We start from the raw sequence: 18,322 nt of genomic DNA on the forward strand, positions 1-18,322 counted from the left end.
CTCTGCTTTCTTACACAAAGGATAGCATATCGTAGATCATTTTGTACTTTGCTATTTTTACCCAACAGTATATCTAGGAAATCACTTCATATAAGCAGATAGAGATCTTCTTTCTTTAAAAAAAAAAATGTTTAATTTTTTTCCTCCTAACTCAGGGAAGTCTTTCCTGGTGGCTTCCCTGACAGGGTCAAAGCCCCTCTTGCATTTCTATAGTCCTCCATTGTGGGAATGTACTGTAATTTTCCCAACCATTCTCCGAGAATAGGCATTTAGGTTTTTTCTAGTGTTTCACAATTACAAATATTGATTCAGTCAGCAACCTGTGCATGTGTATTTTCATAACATTGGAGATGTATCTTCTGGACAGATTCCTAGAAGTAGGATTACTGGGTCAAAAGGTAAGTGCATGTGTAATTTTGTTAGGTAATGTCAAATTCTTCTACAGAATGGTTGAACTAGCTCACATTCTCACTACTAATGTTTGAGACTGTCTTTTCCTCCATGGCCTCAGCAACAGAATGCTCTGTTAGACTTTTCATTTTGCGTTCATTCTTCTTACAGTTTTAAAAATATCACTGTTCCTTCAATAAATATTTATTGAGGACCTACTCAATAATCCAGGCACTATGTGGTAATGCCATGGTGGGCAAAACAGAAACAATTTCTTCCCTGAGAGCATTTTTTAATCTGGCAACAGAGACAGACATCAGTCAGATGATCTCACACACACACACATGCACACACACACATGCACAATTATAGAATGTCATGTGCCATGATCCATTGGGACAGCATGAGGCAGAGAGCCCTCAACTAGTCGGGGGATCAGAGAAGGTTTTCTAAGGAGATGGCACTTTACCAGAGGTCTGGAGGGAGTTTAGGAGTTATCTGGGTAAGCGGTTTCTGTGGCTTAGCTCACTCAACATTTATTCCAGCCTTCTGGCGTGTCTCTCAGTATTGCAGAGGCTAGAAGGCTAAACACTGCATTTCCTTCTCTCTCCCTCTCCTTATTTTAAAAGGCTTTTTGAAAGAGCAGTGACATTCAAAATAAACTTGATCTGAGAGTACAGAGAGTCCCCACATATTCCCTCTTCCACAAACACACATCCTCCTTCACCATCAACATCCCCCACCATTGTGGTACCTCTGTTAGAATCAATGAGCTGATGTTGACACATCAAAGGAAGTCCATAGTTTATATTAGGGCTCATTCTTGGTATTATACACTCTATGGGTTTTAGCAAATGTAATGTGACATGTATCTACTCTTACAGTATGAGACAGAGTAGTTTCACTACCTTAAAAATTCTCTATGCTCTGCCTATTTATTCCTCCTTCCCCCAAACATCATCCTGACAACCAAGATCTTTTTACTGTCTCCATAGTTTAACCTTTTTCGAATGTCATGTAGTTGAATCATACAGTATGTAGCCTTCCAAATTGACTTCTTTCACTTAGCAATATACCTTCAAGTTTCCTCTATGTCTTTTGATGACTTGATAGCTCATTTATTTTTATTATTGAGTAATATTACATTGTCGTGTGTACCACAGTTAATCCATTTACCTACTGAAGGACAACTTGGTTGCTTCCAAGTTTTAGCAATTATGAATAAAGCTGCTATAAAGATTTGAAACATTTCATGTGCAGGTCTTTGTGTGGAAATCAGTTTTCATCTTATTAGGGTAAATATCAAGGAGCACAATTGCTGGATCATACAACAAGAGTTTAATGTGTATTTTCATAAGAAAATACCAAACTGTCTTCCAAACGGCTGTACCATTTTGCATTCCCTCCAACAATGAATGAGAGTTTCTATTACTCCACATCTTCACCAGCCATTTTGAAACCAGCCCAATTGTCCTGTAGAACTGATGTTTATGGTTTCTTTGAATAAACATGGAAATTGACTCTCCCAGTCTTAAAACTTGAGAAAGTTACATTTGTCTTGTCTGACTTCCTTTCTCAGGAAACCAACCAGCAAGCCTCTGAGATAGTATCAAGGAATTGAAACTTACCAGATAACTGCATCTGGACAATAAGACACCAGATCCCTTGCCTGTCATAATGGACTATGTTGCAGGAAGTCAGGGAACCCGAACATAGGGACCAACTGAAGCCATGGCAGAAGAACATAAATTGTGAAGATTTGATGGACATTTATTAGTTCCCCAAATTAATACTTTTGTAATTTCTTACGCGTGTCTTTACTGCAATCTCTGAACATAAGTTGTGAAGATTTCATGGACACTTATCACTTCCCCAATCAATACCCTTGTGATTTCCTATGCCTGTCTTTAATCTCTTAATTCCTTCATCTTCTTAAACTGAGGAGGATGTATGTTGCCTTGGGACCCTGTGATGATTGCGTTAACTGAACAAAATGTTTGTAGAGCATGTGTGTTTGAACAATATGAAATCTGGGCACCTTGGAAAAAGAACAGGTTAACAGCAATGTTCAGGGAAAAAGAGAGATAACCTTAAACTCTGACTGCCGGTGAGCCGGGCAGAACAGAGCCATATTTCTCTTCTTTCAAATGCAAATGGGAGAAATATTGCTGAATTCTTTTTCTCAGCAAGGAACATCCCTGAGAAAGAGAATGCATCCCTGAGGGTAGGCCTCTGAAATGGCCGCTTTCAGGGGCGGCTGTCTTTTATGGTTGTAGCTGTAGGGATGAAATAAGCCTTGGTCTCCTGTAGCACTCCCAGGCTTATTAGGACGAGGAAATTCCCGCCTAGTAAGTTTTGGTCAGACCGGTTGTCTGCTCTCAAACCCTGTCTCCTGATGTTATCAATGACAATGCGTGCCCAAAACTTCATTAGCAATTTTAATTTCGACCCGTCCTGTGGTCCTGTGATCTCGTCCTGCCTCCATTTGCCTTTTGATATTCTATTACCTTGTGAAGCATGTGATCTCTGTGACCCACTCCCTCCCCTTTTGAAAATCACTAATAAAAACTTGCTGGTTTTGCAGCTAGTGGGGCATCACAGAACCTGCCAACATGTGATGTCTCCCCTGGACACCCAGCTTTAAAATTTCTCTCTTTTGTAGTCTGTCTCTTTATTTCTCAGACCAGCTGACACTTAGGGAAAATAGAAAAGAAACTACATGAAATATCGGGGGTGAATTTTGCCCGATATCTGGCTGAATTTCCCCCAATAGACCTAACTGACTACCTGCTTCCTATTGACCAACTCCTCTTCCTTATCCCTTCCTAATTGTTGTTTTCCTACACATGGATACATTTCTTCCCTGCTATATAACTTCCCAGTTTTAATTGATTGGGCAGGTGGATTTGAGACTGATCTCCCACTGTCTCAGCTGCAGCATCTCATCAAAGCCTTCTTCCCTGGCAGTACTCACTGTCTTGGTGATTGACTTTCTGTGCTGTAAGCAACAAGACCTAGACCAAACCCCTGACACTTCAGTAACAATTTTATATTGTCAGTATTTTGGATATTAGCCATTCTAATATGCGTGTAATGGCATCTCATGGTTTTCATTTGTAATTTTTTTTTTTTTTTTTGAGATGGAGTCTAGCTCTGTCACCCAGGCTGGAGTGCTTTGGCACAATCTCAGTTCACTGCAACTTCTGCCTCCTGGGTTCAAGTGATTTTCCTGCCTCAGCCTCATGAGTAGCTGGGGTTACAGAAGTGCACCACCATGCCCAGCTAATTTTTGTATTTTTAGTAGAGATGGGGTTTCACCATATTGGCCAGGCTGTTCTTGTACTCCTGACCTCAAGTGATCTGCCTGCCTCAGCATCCCAAAGGGCTGGGATTACAGGGGCGAGCCCCTGCGCCCAGCCTTAATTTGTAATTCTAATGACGTATCATGTTCAGCATCTTTTCATGTGCTTATTTGCCATCTGTATACCTTTTGTGAGATATCTGGTCATGTCTCTTGCCAGTTTTTTAATTGGATTGTTCTTTTTTAAAAATTTAGTTTAAGTTCTGGGATACATGTGCTGAACATGCAGGTTTATTGATAAGTATACATGTGTCATGGTGGTTTGCTGCACCTATCAACTTGTCATCTAGGTTTTAAGACCCACATACATTAGGTATTTGTCCTAATGCTCTCCCTCCCCTTTCCCCCCAACCCCCAAAAGGCCCTGGTGTGTGGTTGTGGGTTTGTCCTAAAAAGCTCTTATTATTTTGAGGTATGTTCCATCAACTCCTAGTTTATTGAGAGTTTTTAGCATGAAGGAGTGTTGAATTTTATCGAAGGCCTTTTCTGCACCTATTGAACTCATGTAGTTTTTGTCATTGGTTCTGTTTATGTGATGGATTATGTTTACTAATTTGTGTATGTTGAACCAGCCTTGCATCTCAGAGGTGAAGCTGACTTGATCGTGGTGGATAAGCTTTTTGATATGCTGCTGGATTCGGTTTGCCAATATTTTATTGAGGATTTTTGCATTGATTTTCATCAGGGATATTGGCCTGAAATTTTCTTTTTTTGTTGTCTCTGCCAGGTTTTGGAATCAGGATTTTTTCTATTGTTTGGAATAGTTTCAGAAGGAATGGCACCAGCTCCTTTTTGTACCTCTGGTAGAATTTGGCTATGAATCCATTTCATCCTGGGCTTTTATTTGGTTGGTAAGCTATTAATCACTGCCTCAATTTCAGAACTTGTTATTGGTCTATTCTGGGATTTGACTTCTTCCTGGTTTAGTCTTGGGAGGGAGTATGTGTCCAGGAATTTATCCATTTCTTCTAGATTTTCTAGTTTATTTGCATAGAGGTGTTTATAGCATTCTCTGGTGGTAGTTTGTATTTGTGTGGGATCAGTGGTGATATCCCCTTTATCATTTTTTACTGTATCTATTTGATTCTTCTCTCTTTTCCTCTTTATTAGTCGGGCTAGTGGTCTATTTTGTTAATCTTTTCAAAAAACCAGCTCCTGGATTCATTGATTTTTTTGAAGGGTTTTTTGTGTCTCTATCTCCTTAAGTTCTGCTCTGATCTTAGTTATTTCTTGCCTTCTGCTAGCTTTTGAATTTGTTTGCTATTGCTTCTCTAGTTCTTTTAATTGTAATATAAGGGTGCCAATTTTAGATGTTTCCTGCTTTCTGATGTGGGCATTTAGTGTTACAAATTTGCCTTTACACACTGCTTTAAATGTGTCCCAGAGATTCTGGTATGTTGTCTCTTTTTTCTCACTGGTTTCAAAGAACTTCGTTATTTCTGCTTTAATTTTGTTGGTTACCCAGTAGTCATTCAGGAGAAGGTTGTTCAGTTTCCATGTAGTTGTGCAGTTTTGACTGAGTTTCTTAATCCTTAGTTCTAATTTTATTGCACTATGGTCTGAGAGGCTGACTGTTATGATTTCTATTCTTTTGCATCTGCTGAGGAGTGTTTTATTTCCAATTATGTGGTCGATTTTAGAATAAGTGCTATGTGGTACTGAGAAGAACGTATAGTCTCTTGATTTGTGGTGGAGGGTTCTGTAGATATCTATTAGGTCCTCTTGGTCCAGAGCTGCGTTCAAGTCCTGAATGTCCTTTTTAATTTTCTGTCTCATTGACCTGTCTAATATTGAGAGTGAGGTATTAAAGTCTTCCACAATTATTGTTTGGGAGTCTAAGTCTCTTTGTAGGTGTCTAAGAACTTGCTTTATGAATCTGGGTGCTCCTGTATTGGGTGCATATATATTTAGGATAGTTAGCTCTTCTTATTGAGTTGATCCCTTTACCATTACGTAATGCCTTTCTTTTTCTTCTTTGATCTTTGTTGGTTTAAAGTCTGTTTTATCAGAGACTAGGATTGCAATCCCTGCTGTTTTTTGTTTGTTTGTTTGTTTGTTTTTTGCTTTCCATTTGCTTGGTAAATATTCCTCCTTCCCTTTATTTTGAACCTATGTGTGTCTTTGCACCTGAGATGAGTCTCCTGAATACAGTGCACTGATGGATCTTGACTGTTTATCCAATTTGCCAGTCTGTGTCTTTTAATTGGGACATTTAGCCCACTTACATTTAAGGTTAATATTGTTATGTGTGAATTTGATCCTGTCATCATGATGCCAGCTGGTTATTTTGCACATTAGTTGATGCAGTTTCTTCATAGTGTCATTGGTCTTTATATTTTAGTGTGTTTTTGCAGTGGCTGGCACTGGTTGTTCCTTTCCATGTTTAGTGCTTCCTTAAGGAACTCTTGTAAGGCAGGCCTGGTGGTGACAAAATCTCTCAGCATTTGCTTGTCTGTAGAGGATTTTATTTCTCCTTTACTTACGAAAATTAGTTTGGCTGGATATGAAATTCTGGATTGAAAATTATTTTCTTTCAGAATGTTGAATATTGGCCTCCGCTCTTTTCTGGCTTGTAGGGTTTCTGCAGAGAGATCCCCTGTTAGTCTGATGGGCTTCCCTTTGTAGGTAACCTGACCTTTCTCTCTGGCTGCCCTTAATATATTTTCTTGTGTTTCAACCTTGGAGAATCTGACAATTATGTGTCTTGGGGTTGCTCTTCTTGAGGAGTATCTTAGTGATGTTCTTTGTATTTCCTGAATTTGAATGTTGGCCTGCCTTGCTAGGTTGGGGAAGTTCTCCTGGATAATATCCTGAAGTGTGTTTTCTAGCTTGGTTTTACTCTCCCCGTCACTTTAGGGACCCCAATCAATCGTAGGTTTGGTCTATTCACATAGTCCCATATTTCTTGAAGGCTTTTTTCATTTTTTTTCCTCTAATCTTGTCTTCACACCTTATTTTAGTAAGTTGATCTTCAATCTCTGATATCCTTTCTTCTGCTTGATCGATTCAGCTATTGATACTTGTGTATGCTTCACAAAGTTCTCGTGCTGTGTTTTCCAGTTCCATCAGGTGATTTATGTTCTTCTCTAAACTGGTTATTCTAGTTAGCAGTTTCTATAACATTCTGTCAAGGTTTTTAGCTTCCTTACATTGGGTTAGAACATGCTGCTTTAGCTCAGAAGAGTTTGTTATTACCCACCTTCTGAAGCTGACTTGTGTCAATTCATCAAACTCATTCTCTGTCCAGTTGTGTGCCTTAGCTGGAAAGGAGTTGCAGTCATTTGAAGGAGAAGAGGCATTCTGGTTTCTGGAATTTTCAGCATTTTTTACGCTGGTTTTTCCTCATCTTTGTGGATTTATCTACCTTTGATCTTTGAGGCTGATGACTTCTGGATGGGGTTTCTGTGTGGGGGTCCTTTTTGTTGATGTTGATGTTATTGTTTTCTGTTTGTTAGTTTTATTTCTAACAGTCAGACCCCTCTTCTGCAGGTCTGCTGCAGTTTGCTGGAGGTCCACTCTAGACCCTATTTGCCTGGGTATCACCAGCGGAGGCTGCAGAAGAGCAAAGATTGCTGCATGCTCCTTCCTCTGGAAGCTTTGTCCCAGAGAGGGACTGGCCTGATGCCAGGCAGAGCTCTAGTGTATGAAGTGTCTTTCAACCCCTGTAGGGAGGTTTCTCCTAGTCAGGAGGCAGGAGGGTCAGGGACCCACTTGAGAAGACAGTCTGTCCCTTCGCAGAGCTTGAGTGCTGTGCTGGGAGAACCCTCCTTATAAGGGTCCACTGCTCTCTTCAGAGCTGGCAAGCAGGAATGTTTAAGTCCACTGAAGCTGTGCCCACAGCTGCCCCTTCCCCTAGGTGCTCTGTTCCAGGGAGATGGGAGTTTTATCCATAAGCCCTTGACTGGGGTTGTTGCCTTTCTTTCAGAGATGACCTGCCCAGTGAAGAGGAATCTAGAGAGGCAGTCTGGCCACAGCCACTTTGCTGCGCTGTGTTGAGTTCCACCCAGTCCAAACTTCCAGGCCTCCTTAACACTGTCTGGGGAAAACTGCCTACTCAAGCCTCAATAATGGCAGACGCCTCTCCCTGCACCAAGCTGGATCATTCCAGGTTGACTTCAAACAGCTGTGCTGGCAGCAAGAATTTCAAGCCAGTGGCTCTTAGCTTGCTGTGCTCTGTGGGAGTGGGACCCACTCAGTGAGACCACTTGGCTGCCTGGTTTCAGATCTCTTTCCAAGGCAGTGAATGGTTCTGTCTCACTGGGGTTCCAGGCACCACTAGGGTACCAAAAAAGCAAACAAACAAAAAAACTCCTACAGCTAGCTCGGTGTCTGCCTGAACAGCTGCCCAGTTTTGTGCTTGAAACCCAGGGCCCTGGTAGTATATGCACACGAGGGAATCTCCTGGTCTGTGGATTGCAAAAGCCATGGGAAAAGCATAGTATCTGGGCCAGGTAGCACAATTCCTCACAGATTCCCTTGGCTGGGAAAAGGAGGCCCCTGGCTCCTTGCACTTCCTGGGTGAGGCAACTCCCCACCCTGCTTTTGCTCACCCTCTGTGGGCTGGACCCAATGAGATGAACAGGGTACCCCAGTTGGAAATGCAGAAATCAGTCCATTCCAAGATGGCCGAATAGGAATAGCTCCGGTCTGCAGCTCCTAGCGTGATCAATGCAGAAGATGGTGGTTTCTGCATTTCCAACTGGGGTATCAGGTTCATCTCTTTGGGACTTGTTGGACAGTGGGTGCAGCCCATGGAGGGTGAGCCAAAGCAGGGTGGGGCATCACCTCCCCCAGGAAGCACAAGGGGTCAGGGGATTTCCCTTTCCTAGCCAAGGGAAGCCGTGACAGACTGTACCTGGAAAATTGGGACACCCCCACCCTAATACTGTGATTTTTCAATGATCTTAGCAAACGGCACACCAGGAGATTATATCCTGTATCTGGATTGGTGGGTCCCATGCTCATGGAGCCTTGCTGACTGCTAGCACAGCAGTCTGAGATAGACCTGCAAGGCAGCAGCCTGGCAGGGCAAGGGGTGTCCACCATTGCTGAGGCTTGACTAGGTAAACAAAGTGGCTGGGGAAGCTCAAACTGGGCAGAGCTCACTGCAGCTCTGCAAGGTCTGCTGCCTCTGTAGACCCCACCTCTCGGGGCAGGGCATAGCTGAACAAAAGGCAGCAGAAACTTCTGCAGACTTAAACGTCCCTGTCTGACAGCTCTTAAGAGAGCAGTGGTTCTCCCAGTCCAGTGTTTGAGCCCTGAGAACAGACAGACTGCCTCCTCAAGTGGGTCCCTGAACTCTGTGTAGCCTAACTGGGAGACACCTCCCAGTAGGGGCTGACTGACACCTCATACAGGCAGGTGCCCCTCTGGGATGAAGCTTCTAGAGGAAGGATCAGGCAGCAATATTTGCTCTTCTGCAGCCTCTGCTGGTGATACCCAGGCAAACAGGGTCTGGAGTGGACCTCTAGCAAACTCCAACAGACCTGCAGCTGAGAGACCTGTCTCTAAGAAGGAAAACTAACAAACAGAAAGGAATAGCATCAACATCAACAAAAAGGACATCCACACCAAAACCCCATCGGTAGGTCACCAGCATCAAAGACCAAAGGTAGATAAAACCACAAAGATGGGAGAAACCAGAGCAGACAAGCTGAAAATTCTAAAAACCAGAGTGCCTCTTCTCCTCCAAAGTATCACAGCTCCTTGCCAGGAATGGAACAAAGCTGGATGGAGTATGACTTTGATAAGCTGACAGAAGTAGGCTTCAGAAGGTCTGTAATAACAAACTTCTCCGAGTTAAAGGAAGTTGTTCTAACCCATTGCAAGGAAGCTAAAAACCTTGAAAAAAGATTAGACAAATGGCTAACTAGAATAAACAGTGTAGAGAAGACCTGAAATGACCTGATGGAGCTGAAAACCATGGCACAAGAACTTGGTGACACATGGACAAACTTCAATACATGATTTGATCAAGTGGAAGAAAGGGTGTCAGTGATTGAAGATAAAATTAATGAAATAAAGTGAGAAGAGAAATTAAAGAAAAAAGAGTAAAAAGAAATGAACAAAGCCTCTAAGAAATATGGGACTATGTGTTGGGAACAAACCCCCCAAAATCTGGCCATATACTGGCTCCAAAACTGGCCATAAACAAAACCTCTGCAGCACTGTGACATGTTCATGATGGCCATAATGCCCACACTGGAAAGTTGTGGGTTTACCGGAATGAGGGCAAGGAATACCTGGCCCACCCAGGGTGGAAAACTGCTTAAAGGCATTCTTAAGCCACAAACAATAGCATGAGTGATCTGTGCCTTAAGGACATGCTCCTGCTGCAGTTAACTAGCCCAATCTATTCCTTTAATTCGGCCCGTCCCTTTGTTTCCCATAAGGGATACTTTCAGTTAATTTAATATCTATAGAAAAAATGCTAATGACTGGCTTGCTGTTAATAAATACATGGGTACATCTCTGTTCAAGGCTCTCAGCTCTGAAGGCTGTGAGACCCCTGATTTCCCACTTCACACCTCTATATTTCTGTGTGTGTGTCTTTAATTCCTCTAGCGCCGCTGGGTTAGGGTCTCCCCGACTGAGCTGGTCTTGGCAAGTGGCGTCCATCGTGGGGGCTCAAATCCAGGTTGAAGGGTCACCAGAGCAATGGTTGGAGAATGTGGAACTAGCTGGAGGACACCCGAGTACTCTTAAAGCAATCCCCGTGGTGAGTAAGAAGGGGAGCTCGGAAGCATCAGGGTAACAATGGGACAAGTGTGGGCTGTGATTCATTCCACCTTGGAACTTTTTCACACTGATGATGCGGAGGAAGGAGAGTATAATGAAGTAACAGAAGAGGTTACAGACCAGGTTTATTTGCCAGCTAAAGCTAAAGCGGCAAAGGAGGGAGAGGTTCATCCCTACCCTTGTGTTCCCCCTCATTATTTTGAAGAAAATGACCCTCCAGATCTTTCTTTTCCGGAGAACACTGGGCGAAAAGTAGTTGCCCCAGTGACTGTTTGAGCAGTGCCTTGAGCGATCACTCTTAGTTCTATTCAGGCAGGAATTCAGCAAGCTAGATGAGAGGGTGATTTAGAGGCTTGGCAGTTCCCTGTTAGAATACACCCCCCCAGATCAACAAGGAAATATTATAGCTACATTTGAGCCTTTTCCTTTTAAATTACTCAAAGAATTTAAACAAGCTATTCATACTAAAAAAGAATGTAGAAATAATCAGCGAGTCAGGCTGCCAGACAGGGGAAAAAAGAAAACTGCTGAGTCTGAAATATGTCCAAAATATAAAAAAGGAAAACATTGGGCTAATCAGTGTCACTCTAAGTTTGATAAAGAAGGGAACCTGATTTCGGAAAAAACCATGAGGGGCCCATCCCAGGCCCCATTCTAAACTGGGGCATTTCCAGTGCAGGCCATTCTCTCACCCCCATACAATGTCTGTCCCCCACCACAGCCAGTAGTGCCACAGTAGATTTATGCTGCACAAAATCTGTGAGCCTTCTGCCTGGGGAACCCCCACAAAAGGTCCCAACAGGAGTCTGTGGACCCTTGCAGAGGGTATGATATGATCACTTCTAGGAAGTTCTAGTTTAAATTTAAGAGGGGTACAAATACATACAGGAGTCATTGATTCAGATTACAATGGGGAAATTCAAATTGTTATATCTACTTCTGTTCCCTGGAAAGCAGAGCCAGGAGAGGGCGTAGCACAGCTCCTGATTGTGCCGTATGTGGAAATGGGGAAAAGTGAAATTAAATGAACAGGAGGATTTGGAAGTACAAATAAACAAGGCAAAGTAGCTTACTGGGTGAATCAAATTACTGATAAACGTCCTACTTGTGAAATAACTATTCAGGGAAAGAAATTTAAAGGTTTGGTAGATACAGGAGTGGACATTTCAATCATTTCTCTACAGCACTGGCCATCTGCATGGCCAATTCAACCCACTCAATTTAATATAGTTGGAGTTGGTAAAGTCCCTGAAGTATATCAAAGTAGTTATATTTTGCATTGTGAAGGGCCTGATGGACAACATGGGACTATTCAACCAATTATAACTTCTGTACCTATAAATTTATGGGGAAGAGATTTATTACAGCAATGGGGAGCAAAAGTTCTAATTCCAGAACAATTATATAGCCCTCAAAGTCAACATATAATGCATGAAATGTGGTATGTCCCTGGTATGGGACTAGAAAAAAATTTGCAAGATTTGAAAGAACCACTTCAAACAGAAAGACAAAGTTCTTGCCAAAGATTAAGGTATCATTTTTGATGGTGGCCATTGTTAAGCCTCCAGAACCTATACCTTGAAAATGGTTAACAGATAAGCCAATTTGGGTAGAACAATGGCTGCTAAGTAAAGAGAAACTGGAGGCTTTAGAGAAATTAGTTACTGAACAATTAGAAAACGGGCACATAGCTCCAACATTTTCGACTTGGAATTCTCCAGTTTTCCTAATTAAGAAAAAATCAGGTAAATGGAGAATGTTAACTGACTTAAGAGTTATCAACTCAGTTATACAACCTATGGGAGCATTACAGCCAGGATTGCCTTCTCCTGCTATAATTCCAAAAAATTGACTTTAATAGTCATAGATTTAAAAGACTGTTTCTTTACTATCCCTTTAGCTGAGCAAGACTATGAACGGTTTGCATTTACAATTCCTGCAGTAAACAACCTGCAGCCTGCTAAGCATTATCATTGGAATGTGTTGCCACAGAGCATGTTAAACAGTCCAACTATTTGCCAGACCTATGTAGGGCAAGCCATTGAACCTACTAGTAAAAAATTTTCACAGTGTTACATTATTCATTTTATGGATGATATATTTGTGCTGCCCCCACTCGAGAAATATTACTCCAATGTTAGATCACTTGCAAAATTCGATTTCTTGTGCTGGCTTAGTTATATTTCCTGACAAAATTCATACTACTCCTCCTTACTCTTACTTGGGGACCTTAGTAAATGACACTACCACTGTGCCACAGAAAGCAACCATACATAGGGATCAATTAAAAACATTAAATGACTTTTCAAAAATTACTAAGGGACATTAATTGGATATGACCTGCTCCAGGCATTCCTACCTATGCCCTGAGTAATCTGTTTTCTATCCTTAGAGAAAATCCCAGTCTCACTAGCCCTCGGCAATTAACAAATGAGGCTGAGGCACAGTTACAGCTAATTGAGAAGCAAATCCATAAAGCTCAAATAAATAGAATAGATCCAGAGAAGACTCTAGATTTGCTAATTTTTTCAACTCAGCATTCACCTACTGGTGTTATTGTACAAGAACAGGACTTAGTATACTGAGTGGCTTTTTCTTCCACATGCTAATTCACGGACTCTAACTCCTTATTTAGATCAAATCACTAATATGATAGGGATTGGGAGAACTCAGATTATTAAATTACATGGATATGATCCTGGAAAAATTATTGTCCCTCTCAAGAAGGCACAAATACAGCAAGCTTTTATAAATAGTCTTACTTGGCAAACCCATTTAGCTGATTATTCTTGATAATCATTTTCCTAAAATGAAACTGTTTCAGTTTTTGAAATTAACTAATTGGATTCTCCCTAAAATAACTAAATTTAAACCAATTGAAGGTGCCAAGAATATTTTTACAGATGGGTCTAGTAATGGTAAAGCTTCTTATTTTGGCTCAAAAAAGTAAAGTTTTCCAGACGCCTTATACTTCAGCTCAAAAAGCAGAGCTCGTAGCTGTAACTGAAGTATTGACTTCTTCTGATATGCTTATTAATGTGATTTCTGATTCTTCATATGTGGTTCATTCCACACAGTTAATTGAAAATGCTCAGTTACGATTCATACAGATGAACAACTGATGACTTTTTTTACCCAATTGCAAACAGCAGTTAGAAGTAGAATGCATCCTTTTTACATCACTCACATTAGGGCTCATACACCTCTTCCAGGACCTTTGACTGAAGGAAGTTAAATGGCTGATTGCCTAGTCGCTAATGCAATATCTAATGCTAGACACTTTCACAATTTAACCCATGTTAATGCCTCTGGTCTCAAACGCAGATACGGCATTACCTGGAAAGAAGCTAAAGCTATTATCCAGCGATGCCCAACTTGCCAAATGGTACATTCCTCATCTTTTACAGGAAGAGTTAATCCTTGAGGATTGGAACCTAACTCCCTTTGGCAAGTGGATGTCACACATTCCCTCGTTTGGGAGACTAGCTTATGTACATGTATGTGTGGTCACGTTTTCTCATTTTGTCTGTGCTACATGCCAATCAGGAGAGTCTTCTGCCTGTGTTAAACGTCACCTTTTGCAGTGTTTTGCGGTGATGGGCATTCCAGGTTCTATTAAAACAGATAATGCCCCAGGCTATACTAGCCAAGCTCTAGCTACATTTTTATCTATGTGGAATATTAAACACATTACTGGTATCCCATACAATTCTCAAGGACAAGCCATAGTGGAAAGAATGAATCTTTCCCTAAAACAGCAGTTGCAAAAGCAGAAAGTGGGAAACAGAGAACATGGAACCCCACAGATGCAAGTGAATCTAGCATTATTAACTTTAATTTTTTTGAGCCTGCCCAAAAGCCAGATGTTATCAGCAGCTGAACAGCATCTACAGAAACCAGCTGCAAAGATGGAAGCAGAACAACTGATTTGGTGGAGAGATCCAATAACAAAAAGTTGGGAAATAGGTAAAAGAATAACTTGGGGGAGAGGTTATGCTTGTGTTTCTCCAGGCCAAAATCAACAGCCAATTTGGATACCATCAAGACACCTGAAACCTTATCATGAGCCAGATTCCAGGAGGATCCTGAGGACCCTCTGGTTGCAGCCATGTTGAGACCGATGCTGAGGAGGACCCCAACTGTCATGAGCAACACCTGTTGAACACAGCCAATTACCTGGGGACAGATCAAGAAGCTGTCACAGATGGTGGAAGAAAACCTGAGGAAAGCAGGAAAACCAGTCGCAACGAGTAATTTAATGGTAGCTATGATAGCAGTTGTCACCACTGCCATGAGTATTCCTTCAACAAGGGCTGACACAGAGAACCATTATACTTATTGGACATATTTATCAATCCTGGCTGGTAATAATGCCTGGATATAATCACTCTATGACACAGTTACACATGCTTTCTGGTCTCAGTATTTAACATAATAAATCTGCTCCTATAATTGAGGCATACCACCCTCAAAAACCTATTTGTAAACAAAATTGAACCTGGCCAGAAATAATGAAGGTACTTGTTTAGGAATATTGCATTGCAGAACAGGCAGAGGTGCTGCGCAAAGATTCCTATGGAATCATTATTAATTGGTCCCCTAAGGGGATGTTTAGCTGGAATTGCACCTCCAAGTCCGCATGCCATGGCCACACTATGTTCAGCTGATCTGAACAAAACGGTCAGATGGTAGAAATGATAAGAAGTATGGCAAGAGTTCCTATTACCTGGAGCCATGGTAGTATAGTGGCACCTCTACCACAAATGATATGGCCCGCTGTAGGAGCTAAACACAAGGATTTGTGGAAATTATTAATAGTTCCTAATAAGATCAAAATTTGGGAAAGAATAAAAAAGCATATAGAAAGACACTCTACAAATTTGTCTTTGGATACTGCAAAATTAAAAGAACAAATATTTAAAGCATCCCAGCAACACCTGACCTTAATGCCAGGAACTGGAGTGCCTAAAGGAGCTGAAGACAAATTAGCAGCTAGTAACCCATTAAAATGGATAAAAACACTTGGAAGCTCTGTAATTTCAATGATGATTGTGCTTTTGTATAGTCTGCAGATGTGGATCCTGACTCCTGTGAGAAGTAGCTCACGGTGACAAAGCTGCCTTTGCTTTTACTGATTTGCAAATCAAAGAAGGGGGACATCAGGGGAACAAACCCCCCAAAATCTGGCCATATACTGGCTCCAAAACTGGCCATAAACAAAATCTCTGCAGCACTGTGACATGTTCATCATGGCCATAATGCCCACACTGGAAGGTTGTGGGTTTACCGGAATGAGGGCAAGGAACACCTGGCCTGCCCAGGGTGGAAAACTGCTTAAAGGCATTCTTAAGCCACAAACAATAGCATGAGCAATCTGTGCCTTAAGGACATGCTCCTGCTGCAGTTAACTAGCCCAACCTATTCCTTTAATTCGGCCCATCCCTTCGTTTCCCATAAGGGATACTTTTAGTTAGTTTAATATCTACAGAAACAATGCTAATAACTGGCTTGCTGTTAATAAATAGGTTGATAAATCTCTGTTCAAGGCTCTCAGCTCTGAAGGCTGTGAGACCCCTGATTTCCCACTTCACATCTCTATATTTCTATGTGTGTGTCTTTAATTCCTCTAGTGCCGTTGGGTTAATGTCTCTCTGACCGAGCTGGTCTCAGCACTATGTGAAAAGACCAGCTCTACATTTGATTGGTGTAGCTGAAAGTGACGGGGAGAATGGAACCAAGTTGGAAAACACTCTTCAGGATATTATACAGGAGAACTTCTCCAACCTAGCAAGGCAGGCCAACATTCAAATTCAGGAAATACAGAGAACATCACTAAGATACTCCTCCAGAAGAACAACCCCAAGACACATAATAGTCAGATTCACCAAGGTTGAAATGAAGGAAAAATTGTTAAGAGTAGCCAGAGAGAAAGGTCAGGTTACCCACAAAGGGAAGCCCATCAGACTAACAGCAGATCTCTCAGCAGAAACTCTACAAGGCAGGAGAGAGTGGGGGCTAATATTCAACATTCTTAAAGAAAAGAATTTTCAACCCAGATTTGATATCCAGCCAAACTAAGTTTCGTAAGTGAAGGAGAAATAAAATCCTTTACAGACAAGCAAATGCTGAGAGATTTTGTCACCACCAGGCCTGCCTTACAAGAGCTCCTGAAGGAAGCACTAAACATGGAAAGGAACAACCGGTACCAGCCACTGCAAAAACATACCAAATTGTAAAGACCATCAATGCTAGGAAGAAACTGCATCAACTAATGGGCAAAATAACCAGCTAACGTCATGATGACAGGATCAAATTCACACATAACAATATTAACCTTAAATATAAATGGGCTAAATGCCCCAATTAAAAGACACATACTGGCAAATTGGATAAACAGTGAAGACCCATCAGTGTGCTGTATTCAGAAGACCCAACTCACGTGCAGAGACACACATAGGTGCAAAATAAAGGGAAGGAGGAAGATCTACCAAGCAAATGGAAAGGAAAAAAAGCAGGGATTGCAATCCTAGTCTCTGATAAAACAGACTTTAAACCAACAAAAATCAAAAGAGACAAAGAAGGCCATTACATAATGGTCAATGGATCAATTCAACAAGAAGAGCCAACTATGCTAAATATATATGCACCCAATACAGGAGCACCCAGATTCATAGAGCAAGTTCTTAGACACGTACAAAGAGACTTAGACTCCTACACAATAATAATGGGAGACTTTAACACCCCACAGTCAATAGAAGATAGATCAACAAGACAGGGTTAACAAGAATATCCAGGACTTGAACTCAGCTCTGCACCAAGCAGACCTAATAGACATCCACAGAGCTCTCCATCCCAAATCAACAGAATATACATTCTTCTCAGCATCACATCGCACTTATCCCAAAATTGACCACATAGTTGGAAGTAAAGCACGCCTTAGCAAATGTAAAAGAACAGAAGTCACAACCAACTGTCTCTCAGACCACAGTGCAATCAAATTAGAACTCAGGATTAAGAAATTCACTAAAAACTGCACAACTACATGGAAACTGAACAACCTGCTCCTAATGACTACTGGATAAATAACGAAATGAACGCAGAAATAAAGATGTTCTTTGAAACGAATGAGAACAAAGACACAACTTACCAGAATCTCTGCGACACATTTAAAGCAGTATATAGAGGGAAATTTAAGCACTAAATGCCCACAAGAGAAAGCAGGAAAGATCTAAAATTGACACCCTAACATCACAATTAAAAGAACTACAGAAGAAATAGCAAGCAAATTCAAAAGCTAGCAGAAGGCAAGAAATAACTAAGATCAGAGCAGAACTGAAGGAGATAGAGATACAAAATCCCTTTAAAAAACCAATGAATCCAGGAACTGGTTTTTTGAAAAGATCAACAAAATTGATAGCCCCCTAGCAAGAATAATAAAGAAGAAAAGAGAGAAGAATCAAATAGACGCAATAAGAAATGATAAAGGGATATCACCACTGATCCCACAGAAATACAAACTACCACCAGAAAATACTATAAGCACCTCTATGCAAATAAACTAGAAAATCTAGAAGAAATGAATAAATTCCTGGACACATACACCCTCCGAAGACTAATCCAGGAGGAAGTTGAATCTCTGAATAGACCAATAACAGGCTCTGAAATTGAGGCAATAATGAATAGCCTACCAACCAAAAAAAGTCCAGGACCAGACGGATTCACAGCCAAATTCTACCAGAGGTATGAAGAGGAGCTGGTATCATTCCTTCTGAAGCAATTCCAGTCAATAGAAAAAGAGGCAATCCTCCCTAATGCATTTTATGAGGCCAGCGT

General features: G+C 41.3%; 3 annotated features.

The window, feature by feature from the left end:
* Positions 1,538-1,707: an enhancer, noted in NCBI's record as "experimental_1574 CRE fragment used in MPRA reporter constructs". NCBI's record gives its function as "activates a minimal promoter by MPRAs in K562 erythroleukemia cells, with activity observed for the introgressed 1:20315682 variant allele {active_cell/tissue: K562}" and the evidence as "EXISTENCE:reporter gene assay evidence [ECO:0000049][PMID:34662402]".
* Positions 2,125-2,699: an enhancer, noted in NCBI's record as "OCT4-NANOG-H3K27ac hESC enhancer chr1:20316184-20316758 (GRCh37/hg19 assembly coordinates)". NCBI's record gives its function as "activates a minimal SCP1, AML or CMV promoter by ChIP-STARR-seq in primed H9 embryonic stem cells {active_cell/tissue: H9 hESC(primed)}" and the evidence as "EXISTENCE:reporter gene assay evidence [ECO:0000049][PMID:30033119]".
* Positions 2,700-3,275: an enhancer, noted in NCBI's record as "OCT4-NANOG-H3K27ac hESC enhancer chr1:20316759-20317334 (GRCh37/hg19 assembly coordinates)". NCBI's record gives its function as "activates a minimal SCP1, AML or CMV promoter by ChIP-STARR-seq in primed H9 embryonic stem cells {active_cell/tissue: H9 hESC(primed)}" and the evidence as "EXISTENCE:reporter gene assay evidence [ECO:0000049][PMID:30033119]".

The sequence above is a fragment of the Homo sapiens genome, chromosome 1 (genome assembly GCF_000001405.40).
Source record: "Homo sapiens chromosome 1, GRCh38.p14 Primary Assembly".
Taxonomy (NCBI): domain Eukaryota; kingdom Metazoa; phylum Chordata; class Mammalia; order Primates; family Hominidae; genus Homo; species Homo sapiens.